Source organism: Homo sapiens, chromosome 20 (genome assembly GCF_000001405.40).
Source record: "Homo sapiens chromosome 20, GRCh38.p14 Primary Assembly".
Taxonomy (NCBI): Eukaryota; Metazoa; Chordata; class Mammalia; order Primates; family Hominidae; genus Homo; species Homo sapiens.
In genome coordinates this window covers 35,160,712-35,176,574 of record NC_000020.11, presented here as the reverse complement: position 1 = coordinate 35,176,574, position 15,863 = coordinate 35,160,712, and the positions used below count along the sequence as shown (strand labels likewise).

Sequence of the window (15,863 nt, the reverse complement as noted above, 5' to 3'; positions counted from 1 at the left end):
GTGTGTTCTGTCCCAAACCCCCAGCTGTGGGCCTCTTGTTGCTCTAGGCATCCATCCTTCAGGTCCATCCATTTGTCTGGAACCCGCCCTCTCCCCAGCTTGCAGGCCTGGGCCCCGTCCCATCATACCTTTCGTGTTTTCCGCGGAAATATGTTTCTGCACATACTGCACACAGGTGTCCTCCAGGAATTCCCGCAGTTCATACCGAGTGCGGTTGTAGGCATTGAGCTGCTGCAGGGTGAAGGTGACCACTCCGGAGGTGACCTGGGTGTCTGCCTGCCACAAGGCTCTCTCCGGCCGGAAACTCACAAAGGAGCTCCCATTCACAGCCACTTCGAAGAAGACATGGGCTCTAGAGCCCTCGGGAGGCAGCTCACAGCCCAGGAAGCAGCGGATGGTCAGAGGAACTGTGGATAGACAGTCAGGGTCAGGGGACTGTGCAGAGAGGGTGCCAGGTGTGGGGCGAGGCCCACCAAGGGGAAAAGAACATGAGAAGGCAAGAGTCAGTGCTGTGAGGAGAGGGGAGTCTAGGTCAGGGAACTATGGGGAGAAGGGCCTGGGGCTGTGAGGAGGGGTTTGGGGTTAGCCTGTTAGAGGCTAAGAAAGAAGGGGCCAGGGACTGTGATGAAAAAAGGGAATTGTCAGGCCTTGTTCAACTGTAATAGAAAAAAAAAACAGGGGGTGAGGCTGGGGCAGGGGCGGCAGCTCACGCCTGTAATCCCAGCACTTTGGGAGGCCAGGCTTGTGGATCGCCTGAGGTCAGGAGTTCGAGACCAGCCTGGCCAACATGGCGAAACCCCGTCTCTACTAAAAATACAAAAAATTAGCCGGGCGTGGTGGCGGGTGCCTGTAGTCCCAGCTGCTTGGGAGGCTGAGGCAGGAGAATCGCTTGAACCCGGGAGGCGGAAGTTGCAGTGAGCCGAGATCGCGCCACTGCACTCCAGCCTGGACGACAGAGCAAGACTCCGTCTCAAAAAAAAAAAAAAAAAAAAAAAAGGGGGGTGGGGTGGGGGACTAGGAGAGAAAGGAGTTAAAGGCCATGATGGTGGGGGAAGGGGGACGGAGTGGTGCTTGGTGCTTTGAGAAAAGAAATTGGGGTCTTTGAGAAGAAGGAGTTAGGGTTGTGACGGGGAAGGAGTGGGGCTTTGAGAGAAGAACTTGGGGTCTTTGGGGGAAGAGTTCGGGTCATGAGTGGAGCTAAGAGCGAAGTCATCAGCTTGTATGAGAAGTGGCTGGAGGGTGGGGGGTGAAGTGCTGGGGGCTGTGGGAAGGGAAGGACGGAGATCTATGAAGAAAAGGAGTTGGAGGACTGTGAGGCGAGGGGTGAGGAGTTTTCTGGGGACCTTCGACGTCACGGTGTCAGGGCCTTCCAACAGGGTCTATCCCAAGAGGTTATGCCAGCAGGACGACCGCCCGAGTCGGGGCTTTCTTAGCGGGGACAACTGCCTCTCTCCAGCCCCCACCCAGCAATCTTCAAAGGCCCAGGCGCCACCGAGCTCCAGTGGCTGCCGGGTCCCTGCAAGTCCCAGCCCGCCTCCATCCGCCAGGCCCCGCCCCCACCCGCCAGGCCCCGCCCCCACTAGCCCCGCCCAGACCCCGCCCCCGCTGCGCGCCTACTCACAGGCCAAGGTCCGCTCCTGGTGCACCAGGCGCACGAGGCCGTGGAACTGGAGCAGGTAGGACTGCAGGCCACTCTGCGTGCGCGCCCAGCTCTCGGGCTCCTGCAAGGGCTGCAGCTGAATGATCGTGGTGTTGGTGTCTGGGCCTTCCAGCACGTGCGTTAGGTGTCCCCCCAGCGACGCGTTGCCCTGGTACCACACGTGATAGGGGTCGCGGAAGTAGGAGATCTGGAGCATATGAAGTCTTTGGAGGCCTGCGGGCAGAGTCAGCTTCAGCCTGGGCCGGCGTGGGAGGGGGCGGCGGGCAGCGGAAGATAATAACCCCCTACCTCGAGGCTGGCCGCCCGCCTTCTCGACCCTTCATAAACTATAATGTGCCCTCCCACCGCTTCTCCCGTTTGACGCTGACAGTAACTCTGCCAGGAGGACAGGACAGGGATTATTATCTCCGTTTTACAGATGAGGAAACTGAGGCCTGCAGTGGAAGAGACACTCCTTTCTGCCTCCTTTTTCACCCTCGGCTCTCCCTCCCCCCGTTTCCTGTTAACCAACGGAACAAATGGTTAACAAATCCTGACCTGAATAAAATTCCAATTCCATCGCCTGTTCTCCATCTCCTCTTCCACTGCCCTGATTCAGGATTCATCCGTCTCATCTAGACTGGGGTAGTAACTTTCTACTTCATCTCCCCGTTCTCTATTCCGACCTCCACCTGACCCAGGGATGAGATCATGTCCTTTTCCTACTTAAAATCTTCCAGTGCCATAACCCCCTCCCCTTCATTAATCAAAAATAATCATAGCCAATGTCGATTCAGTGCTTATTATAACCTGGGCAATGGGCTTTACATACATTATTATCTTTGTGCCTTTCCCCAGTGGCTTAATGCAATAGCTACTATTATTAACCCCAGTCTACATGGGAAACTGAGACAGAGATAGTGTAGCAGAGCCAAGGTTTGCACGTAGGCAGTCAAGTCCAGCACTCAGCCATTCTGCTACACTGCCTCCCCACAGGATCAAGTCCAGAGTCTTTAGCCTGGCATTCAAGGCTGCTAGAGACCTGGCCCCTGCTGCCTTTTCTGGCCGCTTCCCGCTGCTTATATATCAAACTAGTTGGGATTCCTCATGCTGCCTTTGGCTGACACATGAATAGCATGTCAGGATTGCTCTGCCTCCCTTTTTCTGCCTGGCGAAGTTTATTCATGATTTAAGACCCAGCTCAGAGACTGGGCGCGGTGGCTCATGCCTGTAATCCCAGTACTTTGGGAGGCCGAGGCGGGCGGATCACTTGAGGTCAGGGATTCAAGACCAGCCTGGCCAACATGGCGAAACCCCATCTGTACTAAAAATACAAATATTAGCCAGGCGTGGTGGTACATGCCTGTAGTCCCAGCTACTCAGGAGGCTGAGGCAGGAGAATCGCCTGAACCTGGGAGTTGGAGGTTACAGTTAGCTGAAATTGTGCCACTGCATTCCAGCCTGGGTGACAGCACAAGACTCCATCTCAAAAAAAAAAAAAAAAAAAAAAAAGAAAAAAGAAAGAAAAGCAAAGAAAAAAAGACCCAGCTCAGTTGCCCTCTTCTTGGAAATTTTTTTCTGATGCCCCACGAGACACAGTGTGTCTGTTTCAGTGATCCCAGACCACCATATATTAGTGTGTATCTCACGGGATACTACCTGGCTGTCTCCAAACACACACAGGCCACACTGGACTCCTCTAGGCTATGGAACCATGCTTGGTAATCTCTGCTTCCTACACCCAGAAAAGAGGCTGGCACAGAGTTGATGCCCAGAGCACATTTGGATGAGTCCGGGGTTGTAAATCTGTGTGTGTGAGTGGGTCCTGTCTGTGTTTGCATTTGAGAAGTTGTGCTTTGTATCTGCAGATGTGAATAAGTATATTTATGGATAACCCTAGACATGGTCCTTAACTACTCTGTGACCCAGTTTCCTCCTCATAAAATGGAGATAGTAATAATATTACCCACCTTTAGGGGTTTGTGCAAGTTAAATGGGTCAATACATGTATTAACCATAGTGAGCACTCATTGAATACTGGTTATTATTTGCTGCCTCTCTGAGGGGGAGACTGAAGTTACGGGGATTGTGAGAGAGGGGAAAGGAGGCCCCTGTGCAATTATAATGGAGGGTAATAACTCCCTTTTCTGCTTAAACAGGGCCACTTCAGTAGCCTGATCGCCCATAAGTTCTATTAGGCACAGCATCTCTTTCTCCCCAGTTCCACCAGCTGCGACCAGTCTCCTTCCATTTTCCCTAGCCTCCCCTAACCTCTCTCTGCCCCACTCTTCCCCCACTTCTTCCATCAGTTTTCCCAGGGTCTTCCCATTCCCTCCATTTCTCTTCTCTTCTGAGCCTCTTCCCGTCTCCCCTAGATGTACCCCTATCTACCATCACCCTCAGTTCCCCTTTCTCCCCTCTCCCTGGGGCTGATTCTCCTACCCTCTCTGCTGGTTTCTTTCTCATGTTTCCAGTCATCCTGTTTCCCCTAGCCTCTTTCATCTCCCCCTTTTCAGGGGCTTAAATGTACTAACTCACCTTGGCTTTGGGACACGAACCAGTCCCCAAGACTCTGCCTGCCCTGTAGAGAGATCTAGCCAGCTGCAGACACAGATGCTGTGAGATAAGCTCTCCTGTGGTCTTGCCATGTGCCCAGATAGACTGAGATTCTCCAGAACCATCCTGAGGCAGGAGATGTGCCCCCGACTCACCATCTGAGGCGTCTTGGCTACAAAAGGCCCAGCCAGACAGCAGCAGTATCGGCAGCAATGTTGTCAACATCCTGAAGTTGAGGCTCCGGACCTGGGTTCCTGGCTCGGGCCGGCTGCGGGCTCCGCTGGCTGCAGTCTAGGGAAAAGAGAAGTGAGGACCGTCTGGGAGGGGCGGAGTCTGGGCAGAGGAGGATGGAAGGAGGCCAGGAGATGGGAGGAGGAAGAGGCTTATAAAGTGTTATTTCTACTGTGTCTCATTTCCTACTAGGGGGCCGGCCTCCCTCCTGCCCTCCCTCTGCCCCGCCCTTCATTGCTCCCTCCTGCCCAGACCTGCCTTTTCCCTTCTCCTTGGGCTGCTTCCTAGGAACCAGGAACAGGGAGCGGAAAAGGGGGAGAAGGGCTTGGTGAGAAGTCCTGCCGGCGCTGACTCAGGGGGTGGGGCATCTACTTTCAACTTAGAGCACACTCCTGGGAGTAGGATCAGCAGGTTGCTGATGGGGAGATTGAGGTCCAGAGAGGTGCAGGGACTTGCCCAAAGTTTATATATCATGGTGGTGACAGATCCAAGATTAAAATTTAGTTTTCCAGTATAATGGCTACATTTTACCAGAATTTTAAGTAAATAACAATTACATAATCCGGGATCTTGGTCTCAGAAGTAGTCATAAAATGAGTGTAAAGCAGTTCACTGCAGCATGTTTTTAAAAAATAGGAGAGAATTATGAGCAATCTGTATAAATCTCAGAAGATGATTGGTTACCTAAAGCAATCTTTTTGAAACTGAGGTCATAATTTATTAGTGGACAATGAAATCAATTTAGCAGGTCATGGTTACCATTTTTAAAAAATGAAATAGGACAGAATACAAAATTTCAGCGCGTCACCCTTAGTAAGAGAAAGTGTTATGTCATGAAATATTTGCTCAGTTGTATATGTGTGCTTTGGTTTTGTGTGTGTATGTTTCTATGATGAGTTTTGGATAGCAGTGTAAAATGCGTCCCTTACTCTAGGAAGCAAGTAGAAAAGCTTTAAAGTCACTCCTCCGAGCATGCTGCTGGCACTTTGGGAGGCCGAGGTGGGCAGATCACTTGAGGCCAGGAGTTTGAGACCAGCCTGGCCAATATGGCGAACGTCTCTACGAAAAATACAAAAATTAGCTGGGCATGGTGGTGCATGCCTGTAATCCCAGCTACTTGGGAGACCGAGGCATGAGAATCGCTTGAACCTGGGAGGTGGAGGTTGCAGAGGGCCGAGATCACACCACTGCATTCTAGCCTGGGTCATGCGGCAAGATTCTGTCTGAAAAAAAAAAAGAAAAGATTTCACTTCTGTTCAAATAATACATATGTAATTTCATCCTCATATATATATATAAAATTTATTATTATTTTTTTGAGACAGGGTCTAGCTCTGTTGCCCAGGCTATAGTGCAGTGAAGCAATCACAGCTAATTGTAGGCTTGACCTCCCGGGCTCAAGTGATTCTCCCACCTCAACCACCCGAGTAGCTGAGACTAAAGGTACGTGCCACTGTGCCACCACGCCTAGCTATTTTTTTTTATTTTTACTAGAGATGTGGTCTCGCTATGTTGCCCAGGCTGGTCTTGAACTCCTGCACTCAAGCAATCCTCTGGTATAGGCAGGAGCCACTGCACCTGGCCAAAATTAACTTTCAGTGTGTATCTGTGTATTTGTATATACATAGGGAAAATATCTGGAGGGGTACTGTCAATAGAGATTACCTCTGGGGAATAGGATTGGGTAAAGGACTGAGAGGGATTTTAACTTTTTATTTTATATACTTCTCCCCGGAGAGCTGACGTCATAGTGAAATCTGGGACAAACTCTGGACATAAACTAAGCACCCATTCTCTGAACTGAATATATGCAAGAGCTTCCATGCTCACCTCTCAGCTGTTGCAAACTGGCTAAGAAATAGCATCAAAGTCTTTTCTTTTTGCAGCTTATCAAAATGGTCTAGTTGGAACAAGGATAGGAACTTTGTTTTCCTGCACTGGGCCTCAGGAAAAGTAGAATGACTTAAATAACTACCAATTTATATTGTCTTGCCTTTTATTAAAAATTATGAAACATTTCTTTTTTCTTTTTTTTTTTCTTTTTTTTGAGATGGAGTCTTGCTGTAATGCAGTGGCGTGATCTCGGCTCACTGCAACCTCCACCTCCCAGATTCAAGCGATTCTCCTGCCTCAGCCTCCCAAGTAGCTGGGATTACAGTCACCTGCCACCACACCTGGCTAATTTTTGTATTTTTAGTAGAGATGGGATTTCACCATGTTGGCCAGGTTGGTCTCAAACTCCTGACCTCAGGTGATCCGCCCACTTCAGCCTCCCAACATGCTGGGATTACAAGCCTGAGCCACTGTGCACAGCCTGAAATATTTCATTTTTGAAGAGTTATTTCATGCTTAAAGGATTACATTTCAAACATACCTATCCCCACCACCAAGCATAAGAAATACAATATTGCTAATATAGTTGAAGCCCCCTATGGACTCTTCCTCAGCTGCATCTCTCTCTCCCTGCCACAGCCCCTGAAGTAACCACTTCAGATGAAAATGAAGATTTGATATTTTTCATTTCCTTATATTTCTGTATACTTACACTACTTATGTATATATCCCTAAACAATAGATAGTGGTATTTCACATATTTTGAGCTTTATATAAATGGTATTAAAATGTATGTATTCCTCTGTACCTTTTGCTTTTTTCACTTAATGTATTAATAAGATTCATTCATGTGGCTATGTGTAGACCATTCATTTTCACTGCTTTAAAATATTCCGGCTGGGGAGGTATTATCCCAGCACTTTGGGAGGCCGAGGTGGGTGGATCATTTGAGCCCAGGAGTTCAAGACCAGCCTGGGCAACATAGTGAGACCCCCATCTCTACAAAAAAAATAAAATTAGCTGGGTGTGATGGGTTGTGCCTGTGGTCTCAGCTACTCAGGAGGCTGAGGTAGGAGGATTGCTTGAGCCCAGGAGGTTGAGACTGCAGTGAGCCATGATCATGCCACTGCACTCTAGCCTGGGCAACAGAGCAAGACCCTGTCTCAAAAAAAAAAATCAATTTTGGGAATAGATCATTATTTATGTATCCATTCTCTTGTTGCTGAACACTTAAGTTTTTTCCAGTTTTTTGCTATTACAAACAGTGCTGGTATGAACATTCTCATACTCGAGTCCTTGTGCATATGTGGGAGTTTTTGTAGGTGCAAACTTGACAGTGGAATTTCTGAGTAATAAAGTATATGCATCTTCAGTTTTACTAGATATTGCCAAACTGTTTTACAGAAAGGTTGTGCCAATTTACGTTCCCAGCAGTGTATGAGAATTCCCTCGCTTCACATCCTTGCCAGCCCTTGGCATTATCAGATGGTTGGGTGTAAAATGGCATTTCTCTTTGGTTTTAGTTTGCATTTTTCTGGTTCTTAGTGAGGTTGTGCATATTTTTGCTTTGCCTTTTTTCTCCCTTGAAGGCTTGAAGGGTACTTTGGGATGGATAAGAGAGGGCAAAAGAGTGTACGATTGAACCAATTTGGAATTGAATGCTGTGAGCCTTCCATCTAAGCGGGTAGGGTCTGGGTCCACTTTCATCCACATTATCTTACACAGAGCTCATTACATCAAGGGCTTTCTTTCCTTTTCTTTCTTTCTTTTTTTTTTTTTTTTTTTGAGATGGAGTCTCGCTCTGTTGCCCAGACTGGAGTGCAATGGTATGATCTCTGCTCACTGCAACCTCCACCTCCTGGATTCAAGCAATTCTCCTGCCTCAGCCTCCCAAGTAGCTGGGATTACAGGCAGGTGCCACCATGCCTGGCTAATTTTTGCATTTTTAGTAGAGATAGGGTTTCATCATGTTGGCCAGGCTGGTCTCGAATTCCTGACCTCAAGTGATCCATCTGCCTTGGCCTCCCAAAGTGCTGGGATTACAGGCACGAGCCCCCACGCCCAGCCACATGGAGGCCTTTCTAATCAGGTTAAGATCCATCATGGACAGATAGCAGCAGCAACAGCTATTTCCCAAGCACCCCTCTCATATACTAGAGCCCTGAAAATTGAACAGTGAGACAATGATAGCATTATTATAGGTAACACTTATTGTAGGCCAGAAACAGTGTTCGGCTCTTTACTTAAATAATCTTACTTTATTCTTATGCTAGCCCTGTGAAATGGGTTTCACTAGCATCACCATTTTACTAAGAAACTGAGGCTCAGAGAGGTTAAGTGACTTACCTAAGGTCACACAGCAAAAGCTATAATTTGAAAGTTTCTCTCTCTCTCTGGTGCCAAAGTTTGTGAATTTAACTCCCACACAGTGACTCAAAAATTATTTTGATCACTTTCCATCAATACATTTTTTTAACACATACCTCCAACATGCTTGAATGTTTAATATATATGTTATAAAACATTCTTTAAATTCATACTATGTGCTAGGCCTTTAATCACTTTCTCTGGGGCAGACCATGCTCATTGTTTCCATGCTACAGACAAAAAAATAAATAAAATAAAGCTGCCTGGGTGTAGTGGCTCATGCCTGTAAATTAGTGACCAGCATGGCAACATATGAGACTCCATCTCTACAAAAAAATTTTTTTTAAATTAGCCAGGCATGGTAGTACACACCTGTGGTCCCATCTACTTGGGAGGCTGAGGCAGGAGTATGGCTTGAGCCCAGGATGTCAAAAGGTCAAGGCTGCAGTGAGCTATGTCTGTGCCTCTGCACCCCAGCCTGGGTGACAGAAAGAGACCCTGTCTCAAACAAAACAAAACAAAACAAACAACAACCAAAAAAACTGGGCATGGTGGCTCATGCCTGTAATCCCAGCATTTTGGGAGGCCCAGGCAGAAGGATCCCTTGAGCCCAGGAGTTTGGACCAACCTGGGCAACCTGATGAATCCTCCTCTGCTCCTCTGTACAAAAAAAAAAAAAAAAAATCAAAGCCCAGAAAAATAGTTAAGTAACTTGCCCAAGGTCACACAGCTTGGAAGTGCAGAGCGAGGATTTGAACTCAGAAAGTATGGGACTGGGCATGCCTGTAATCCCAGCACTCTGGGAGGCCAAGGTGGATGGATCACCTGAGGTCAGGAGTTTGAGACCAGCCTGGGCAACATGGTAAAACCCCGTCTCTACTAAAAATACAAAAATTAGCTGGGCATGGTGGCGTGCCTGTAATCCCAGCTACTCAGGAGGTTGAGGTGGGAGACTTACTTGAACCCGGGAGGTGGAGGTTGCAGTAAGCCGAGATCCTGCCACTGCACTCCAGCCTGGGCAACAGAACAAGACTCCATCTCAAAAAAAAAAAAAAAAAAAAAAAAAAGCATGGAAGTATGGAGCTGGGAACAGAGAAAATAAAAAGAGTGTTGCGGGTAGGGAAGTTGGGAGGGGGGCAACTTGAGCCTTTTCTCATTCTAAACCCAGGGATGGGGGTGGGGAAGAAAAGAGAAATGCTGCTGTTGGAGCCATGGCCTACACTGCATCTGGCCTGGGTGGCTGAGGTGTAGAAAATCACAGAGTGGGCACCAGGCCAGCAGCTGGGATTTGACTGAGACCTAAAGAATGAGGGTCCCGTTGAGCAAAGGGAAATGAAGGAAGCAAGCGGTGGTGTTTCCTACTCCAGAGAGCACATGCTGGAGGAAGATAAGGGAGACAGGAAGCTGAGCTGGGGCCAGTGCTGGTGCAGCCCCAGTGGGTGAGGGAGGCCTTGCCAGGGCAGCAGGAGCAGGGACAGGCCAGGGACTGGCCGTGTGCCCAGCTGGACTTCAGAGGACCAGGCTCTCCCACCCCTGTTGTTAGCTACTGAAGAACGGCAGTTTAAGCAACCTGGCCCAATTTGGGTAACAAAGGAGTGTGGACCCTTCAAAGGCACTTCCCCCTTAGGATGAGGAATAATAACAATAACATGTGCGAAGAGCTTACAATGTGCCAGGCACAGTATTAAGTAAGCAGAGTCCATGTATTTTTTTCTCACTAGTACCCTGTGAAAAGTCTGAAGAAAGTCCAGGCCAGGTGCTCAGGCCTGTAATCCTAGCACTTTGGGGGGCCAAGCTGGGAGGATTGCTTGAGTCCAGGAGTTTGAGACCAGCCTGGGTAATATAGCAAGACCCTGTTGAAAGACAGGCAGACAGAAATAAAGAGAGAGAGAGAGGAGGGAAGGAAGGAAAGAAGGAGAAAGAAAAAAGAAAGAAGGAAAGAAGAAAAGAAAGAAAGAGAGAAAGAAAAGAAAAGAAGAAGGGGGAAAGAGGGAGGGAGGAAGGGAGGGAGGGAGGGAGACAGAAAAGGAGGGAGGGAGGGCAGTCTGAAGAAATAGCCGTCGTTCCCATTTTACAGATGAGGACACAGAAGCACAGAACAGGGAACTGAGCTGCTCAAAGACATCCAGCTAGTAAAAGGCAGAGCTGGGACTCATACCCAGGTGAGTTGGATGCCAAAACATGCTTTCTTCATTATTAGACCATCTCATGAGGATAAACAAGATGATGCATTCAAAACTCCCAGAACACAGTACGTGTTCAGTAGGTGGGAGAGATAAGAAAGGAGCTTAGCAGCAAACAGAACGGACCCTGTCCAGGAGGGATGGACATCAAGTATGACTTCTTGAAGAGAAGGCAAAGGAATAGATGTTAAGTCTTAATCAGAATTTCCCCCTGTATCATCCCCCCAACACCCCCCAACTTAGGGAACATGAAAAGAAGCTCCAAACACTCAGGATGATGCCTGCTCTTGCCTGCCCCAGCAATTGATGGGAGCCTAGTATTGTTGGCTTGGCTCCTGCCTATCTCTCTAGCCTTATCTATCCATGTATTCCAGTTTCAGCCAAATCCATTCCTCCTGGTTTCCTGAACACAGAACACATAAATATTAACTTTTCACTTTTTTTTTTTTTACAGTAAGCTAAGGTTAATTTATTACTGAAGAAAGAAAAATATTTTTGCATAAACTTAGTGCAGCCTAAGTGAACAGTATTGATAAATTCTACAGTAGTGTACAGTAATGTCGTAGGCCATCACATTTGCTCACCACTCACTCACTGACCCACTCAGAGCAACACCAAGTCCTTCAAGCTCCATGCATGAAGTACACACTCTACAGGTGTACCTTTTAAAATCGACTATACCATATTTTTACTGTACCTTTTCTGTGTTTAGATTTCTTTTTTTAATTTTTATTATACTTTAAGTTTGGGGTACATGTGCAGAATGTGCAGGTTTGTTACGCAGGTATACACTTGTCATGGTGGTTTGCTGTACCCATCAACCCGTCATCTACATTAGGTATTTCTCCTAATGCTATCCCTCCCCTAGCCCCCTACCCCCTGACAGGCCCTGGTATGTGATATTCCCCTCCCTGTGTCCATGTGTTCTCATTGTTCACCTCCCACTTATGAGTGATAACATGCAGTGTTTGGTTTTCTGTTTTTGTGTTAGTTTGCTGAGAATGATGGTTTTCAGCCTCATCCATGTCCCTGCAAAGGACATGAACTCATCCTTTTTTATGGCTGCATAGTATTCCATGGTATATATGTGCCACATTTTCTTTATCCAGTCTATCACTGATGGGCATTTGGGTTGGTTCTAAGTCTTTGCTGTTGTGAATAGTGCCACAGTAAACATACCTCTGCATGTATTCTTTATAGTAGAATGATTTATAATCCTTATACCCAGTAATGGGATTGCTGGGTCAAATGGTATTTCTGGTTCTAGATCCTTGAGGAATCACCACACTGTCTTCCACAATGTTTGAACTAATTTACTCTCCCACCAACAGTGTAAAAGCATTCCTATTTCTCCACATCCTCTCCAGCATCTGTTGTTTCCTGACTTTTTAATGATCATCATTCTAACTGGCATGAGATAGTATCTCATTGTGGTTTCGATTTGCATTTCTCTAATGACCAGTGATGATGAGCTGTTTTTCATATGTTTTTTGGCCACATAAATGTCTTCTTTTGAGAAGTGTCTGTTCATATCCTTTGCTCACTTTTTGATGGAGTTGTTTTTTTTCTTGTAAATTTGTTTAAGTTCTTTGTAGATTCTGGATATTAGCCCTTTGTCAGGTGGATAGATTGCAAAAATTTTCTCCCATTCTGTAGGTTGCCTGTTCACTCTGATGATAGTTTCTTTTGCTGTGCAGAAGCTCTTTAGTTTAATTAGGTCCCATTTGCCAATTTTGGCTTTTGTTGCCATTGCTTTTGGTGTTTTAGTCATGAAATCTTTGCCCATGCCTATGTCCTGAATGGTATTGCCTAGGTTTTCTTCTAGGGTTTTTATGGTTTTAGGTCTTATGTTTAAGTCTTTAATCCATCTGGAGTTAATTTTTGTATAAGGTGTAAGGAAGGGGTCCAGTTTCAGTTTTCTGCATATAGCTAGCTAGTTTTTCCAACACCATTTATTAAACAGGGAATCCTTTCCCCATTGCTTGTTTTTGTCAGATTTGTCAAAGATCAGATGGTTGTAGATGTGTGGTGTTACTTCTGAGGGCTTTGTTCTGTTCCATTGGTCTATATATCTGTTTTGGTATATCATGCTGTTTTGTATACTGTAGCCTTGTACTATAGTTTGAAGTCAGGTAGCGTGATGCCTCCAGCTTTGTTCTTTTTGCTTAGGATTGTCTTGGATACGGGGGCTCTTTTTTGTTCCATATTAAATTTAAAGTAGTTTTTTCCAGTTCTGTGAAGGAAGTCAATGGTAGCTTGATGGGAATAGCATTGAATCTATAAATTACTTTGGGCAGTATGGCCATTTTCACGATATTGATTCTTCCTATACATAAGCATGGATTGTTTTTCCATTTATTTGTGACCTCTTATTTCCTTGAGCAGTGGTTTGTAGTTCTCCTTGAAGAGGTCTTCATATCCATTGTAAGTTGTATTCCTAGGTATTTTATTCTCTTTGTAGCAATTGTGAATGGGAGTTCACTCATGATTTGGCTCTGTCTGTTATTGGTGTATAGGAATGCTTGTGATTTTTGCACATTGATTTTGTGGTGTTCTCTGTATTTCCTGAATTTGATTGTTGGCCTGTCTTGCTAGGTTGGGGAAGTTCTCCTAGATAATATCCTGAAGAGTGTTTTCCAACTTGGTTCCATTCTCCCTGTCACTTTCAGGTACACCAACCAAATGTAGATTTGGTCTTTTCACATAGTCCCATATTTCTTGGAGGCTTTGTTTCTTTTCATTCTTTTTTCTCTAATCTTGTCTTCTCGCTTTATTTCATTAAGCTGATCTTCAATCTCTGTTATCCTTTCTTCTGCTTGATAATTCGGCTATTGATACTTGTGTATGCTTCACGAAGTTCTCGTGCTGTGTTTTTCAGCTCCATCAGGTCATTTATGTTCTTCTCTAAACGGTTATTCTAGTCAGCAATTCATCTAACCTTTTTTCAAGGTTCTTAGCTTCCTTGCATTGGGTTAGAACATGCTCCTTTAGCTCGGAGGAGTTTGTTATTACCCACCTTCTGAAGTCTACTTCTGTCAATTCTTCAAACTCATTCTCTGTTTCCAGTTTTGTTCCCTTGCTGGCAAGGAATTGTGATCCTTTGGAGGAGAAGAGGCATTCTGGTTTTTGGAATTTTCAGCCTTTTTGTGCTGGTTTCTCCCCATCTTCATGGATTTATCTACCTTTGGTCTCTGATGTTGGTGACCTTCAGATGGGGTCTCTGAGTGGACGTCCTTTTTGTTGATGTTGATGCTATTCCTTTGTATTTGTTAGTTTTCCTTCTAACAGTCAGGCCCCTCTGCTGCAGGTCTTCTGGAGTTTGCTGGAGGTCCACTCCAGACCCTGTTTGCCTGGGTATCACCACTGGAGGCCGCAGAACAGCAAAGATTGCTGCCTGTTCCTTCCTCTAGAAGCTTTGTCCCAGAGAGGCACCCACCAGATGCCAGCGAGAGCTCTTCTGTATGAGGTGTCTGTTGGCCCCTATGGGAGGTGTCTCCCAGTCAGGATACATAGGGGTCAGGGACCCACTTGAGGAGGCAGTCTGACCCTTATCAGAGCTCGAATGTTGTCCTGGGAGTTCTCTTCGGAGCCATCAGGCAGGGACGTTTAAGTCTGCTGAAGCTGTTTCCAAGCCACCCCTTCCCCCAGGTGCTCTGTCCCAGGGAGATTTTTTTTTTTTTTTGAGATAGAGTCTCACTCTATCACCCAGGCTAGAGTGCAGTGGCACAATCTCGGCTCACTGCAACCTCCACCTCCTGGGTACAAGCAATTCTCCTGCCTCAGCCTCCCGAGTAGCTGGGATTACAGGCCCCTGCCACCACGCCTGGCTCATTTTTTTTGTATTTTAGTAGAGATGGTGTTTCACCATGTTAGTCAGGCTAGTCTCAAACTCCTGACCTCAAATGATCCACTCGTCTCGGCCTCCCAAAGTGCTGGGATTACAGGCGTGAGCCACCGTGCTGGCCAGGGGTTTTATCTGTAAGTCCCTGACTGGGGCTGCTGCCTTTTTTTCAGAGATGCCCTGCCCAGAGAAGAGGAATCTAGAGAGGCAGTCTGGCCACAGCAGCCTTGCTGAGCTGTGGTGGGCTCCACCCAGTTTGAACTTCCCTGCAGCTTTGTTTACACTGTGAGGGTAAAACCACCTACTCAAGCCTCAGCAATGGCGGACAACCCCTCCCACCACCAAGCTCAAGCATCCCAGGTCGACCTCAGACTGCTGTGCTGGCAGCGAGAATTTCAAGCCAGTGGATCTTAGCTTGCTGAGCTCTGTGGGGGTGGGACCCATGGAGCCAGACCACTTGGCTCCCTGGCTTCAGCCCCCTTTCCAGCGGATTGAACAAACCTGTTTTTTTTTTTTTGTTTTTTTTTTGAGACGGAGTCTCGCCCTGTCGTCCAGGCTGGAGTGCAGTGGTGCAATCTCAGCTCACTGCAAGCTCCACCTCCTGGGTTCAAGTGATTCTCCTGCCCCAGCCTCCTGAGTAGCTGGGATTACAGGCCCCCACTGCTATACCCAGCTAATTTTTGTATTTTGAGTAGAGACGGGGTTTCACCATGTTGGCCAGGGTGGTCTCGAACTTCTGACCTCGTGATCTGCCCACCTTGGCCTCCTAAAGTGCTGGGATTACAGGCATGAGCCACCGCGCCCAGCCTGCAGAGTGAACGATTCTATCTTGCTGGCGTTCCACGCACCACTGGGGTATGAAAAAAAAAAAAGAAAACTCCTGCAGCTAGCTCGGTGTCTGCCCAAATGGCCGCCCAGTTTTGTGCTTGAAACCCAGGGCCCTGGTGGCGTAGGCACCAGAGGGAATCTCCTGGTCTACAGGTGGCGAAGACCTTGGGAAAAGCGCAGTATCTGGGCCGTAGTGCACCATTTCCCAGGGCACAGTCCCTCACCGCTTCCCTTGGCTAGGGGGGATATCCCCTAACCTCTTGCACTTCCTGGGTGATGCGACGCCCCACCCTGCTTCGGCTTGCCCTCCGTGGGCTGCACCCATTGCCCATCCAGTCCCAATTAGATAAACCGGGTACCTCAGTTGGAAATGCAGAAATCACCC

General features: G+C 47.2%; 2 protein-coding genes across 5 annotated transcripts in view, besides 2 other annotated features; one reads left to right on the top strand and one right to left on the bottom strand.

The window, feature by feature from the left end:
- Positions 1-5,479, bottom strand: part of PROCR (protein C receptor) — a 45,164-nt gene extending 39,685 nt beyond the window's left edge. The window contains exons 1-4 of one of the 4 annotated variants that reach the window (XM_047439830.1): positions 5,356-5,479; positions 4,351-4,486; positions 1,622-1,873; positions 129-407 (exon numbers count right to left, since the gene is read on the bottom strand). In XM_047439830.1, coding sequence (XP_047295786.1) covers positions 129-407; positions 1,622-1,873; positions 4,351-4,486; positions 5,356-5,400 — 712 coding nt within the window. In that variant the 5' untranslated portion in view covers positions 5,401-5,479. Of the gene's footprint in view, positions 1-128; positions 408-1,621; positions 1,874-4,350; positions 4,504-4,680; positions 4,740-5,355 lie in introns of those variants that run through there. The other 3 variants (XM_011528496.2, XM_047439831.1, NM_006404.5) reach the window with 3 other exon arrangements.
- Positions 1-15,863, top strand: part of MMP24-AS1-EDEM2 (MMP24-AS1-EDEM2 readthrough) — a 162,759-nt gene that overhangs the window by 101,548 nt on the left and 45,348 nt on the right. Inside the window, exon 5 of the mRNA NM_001355008.2 lies at positions 10,704-10,788. The gene's annotated coding sequence lies outside the window, so the exon portion shown is untranslated. The remainder of the gene's footprint in view (positions 1-10,703; positions 10,789-15,863) is intronic.
- Positions 283-985: an enhancer, noted in NCBI's record as "H3K4me1 hESC enhancer chr20:33763393-33764095 (GRCh37/hg19 assembly coordinates)". NCBI's record gives its function as "activates a minimal SCP1, AML or CMV promoter by ChIP-STARR-seq in primed H9 embryonic stem cells {active_cell/tissue: H9 hESC(primed)}" and the evidence as "EXISTENCE:reporter gene assay evidence [ECO:0000049][PMID:30033119]".
- Positions 1,688-2,390: an enhancer, noted in NCBI's record as "H3K4me1 hESC enhancer chr20:33761988-33762690 (GRCh37/hg19 assembly coordinates)". NCBI's record gives its function as "activates a minimal SCP1, AML or CMV promoter by ChIP-STARR-seq in naive H9 embryonic stem cells {active_cell/tissue: H9 hESC(naive)}" and the evidence as "EXISTENCE:reporter gene assay evidence [ECO:0000049][PMID:30033119]".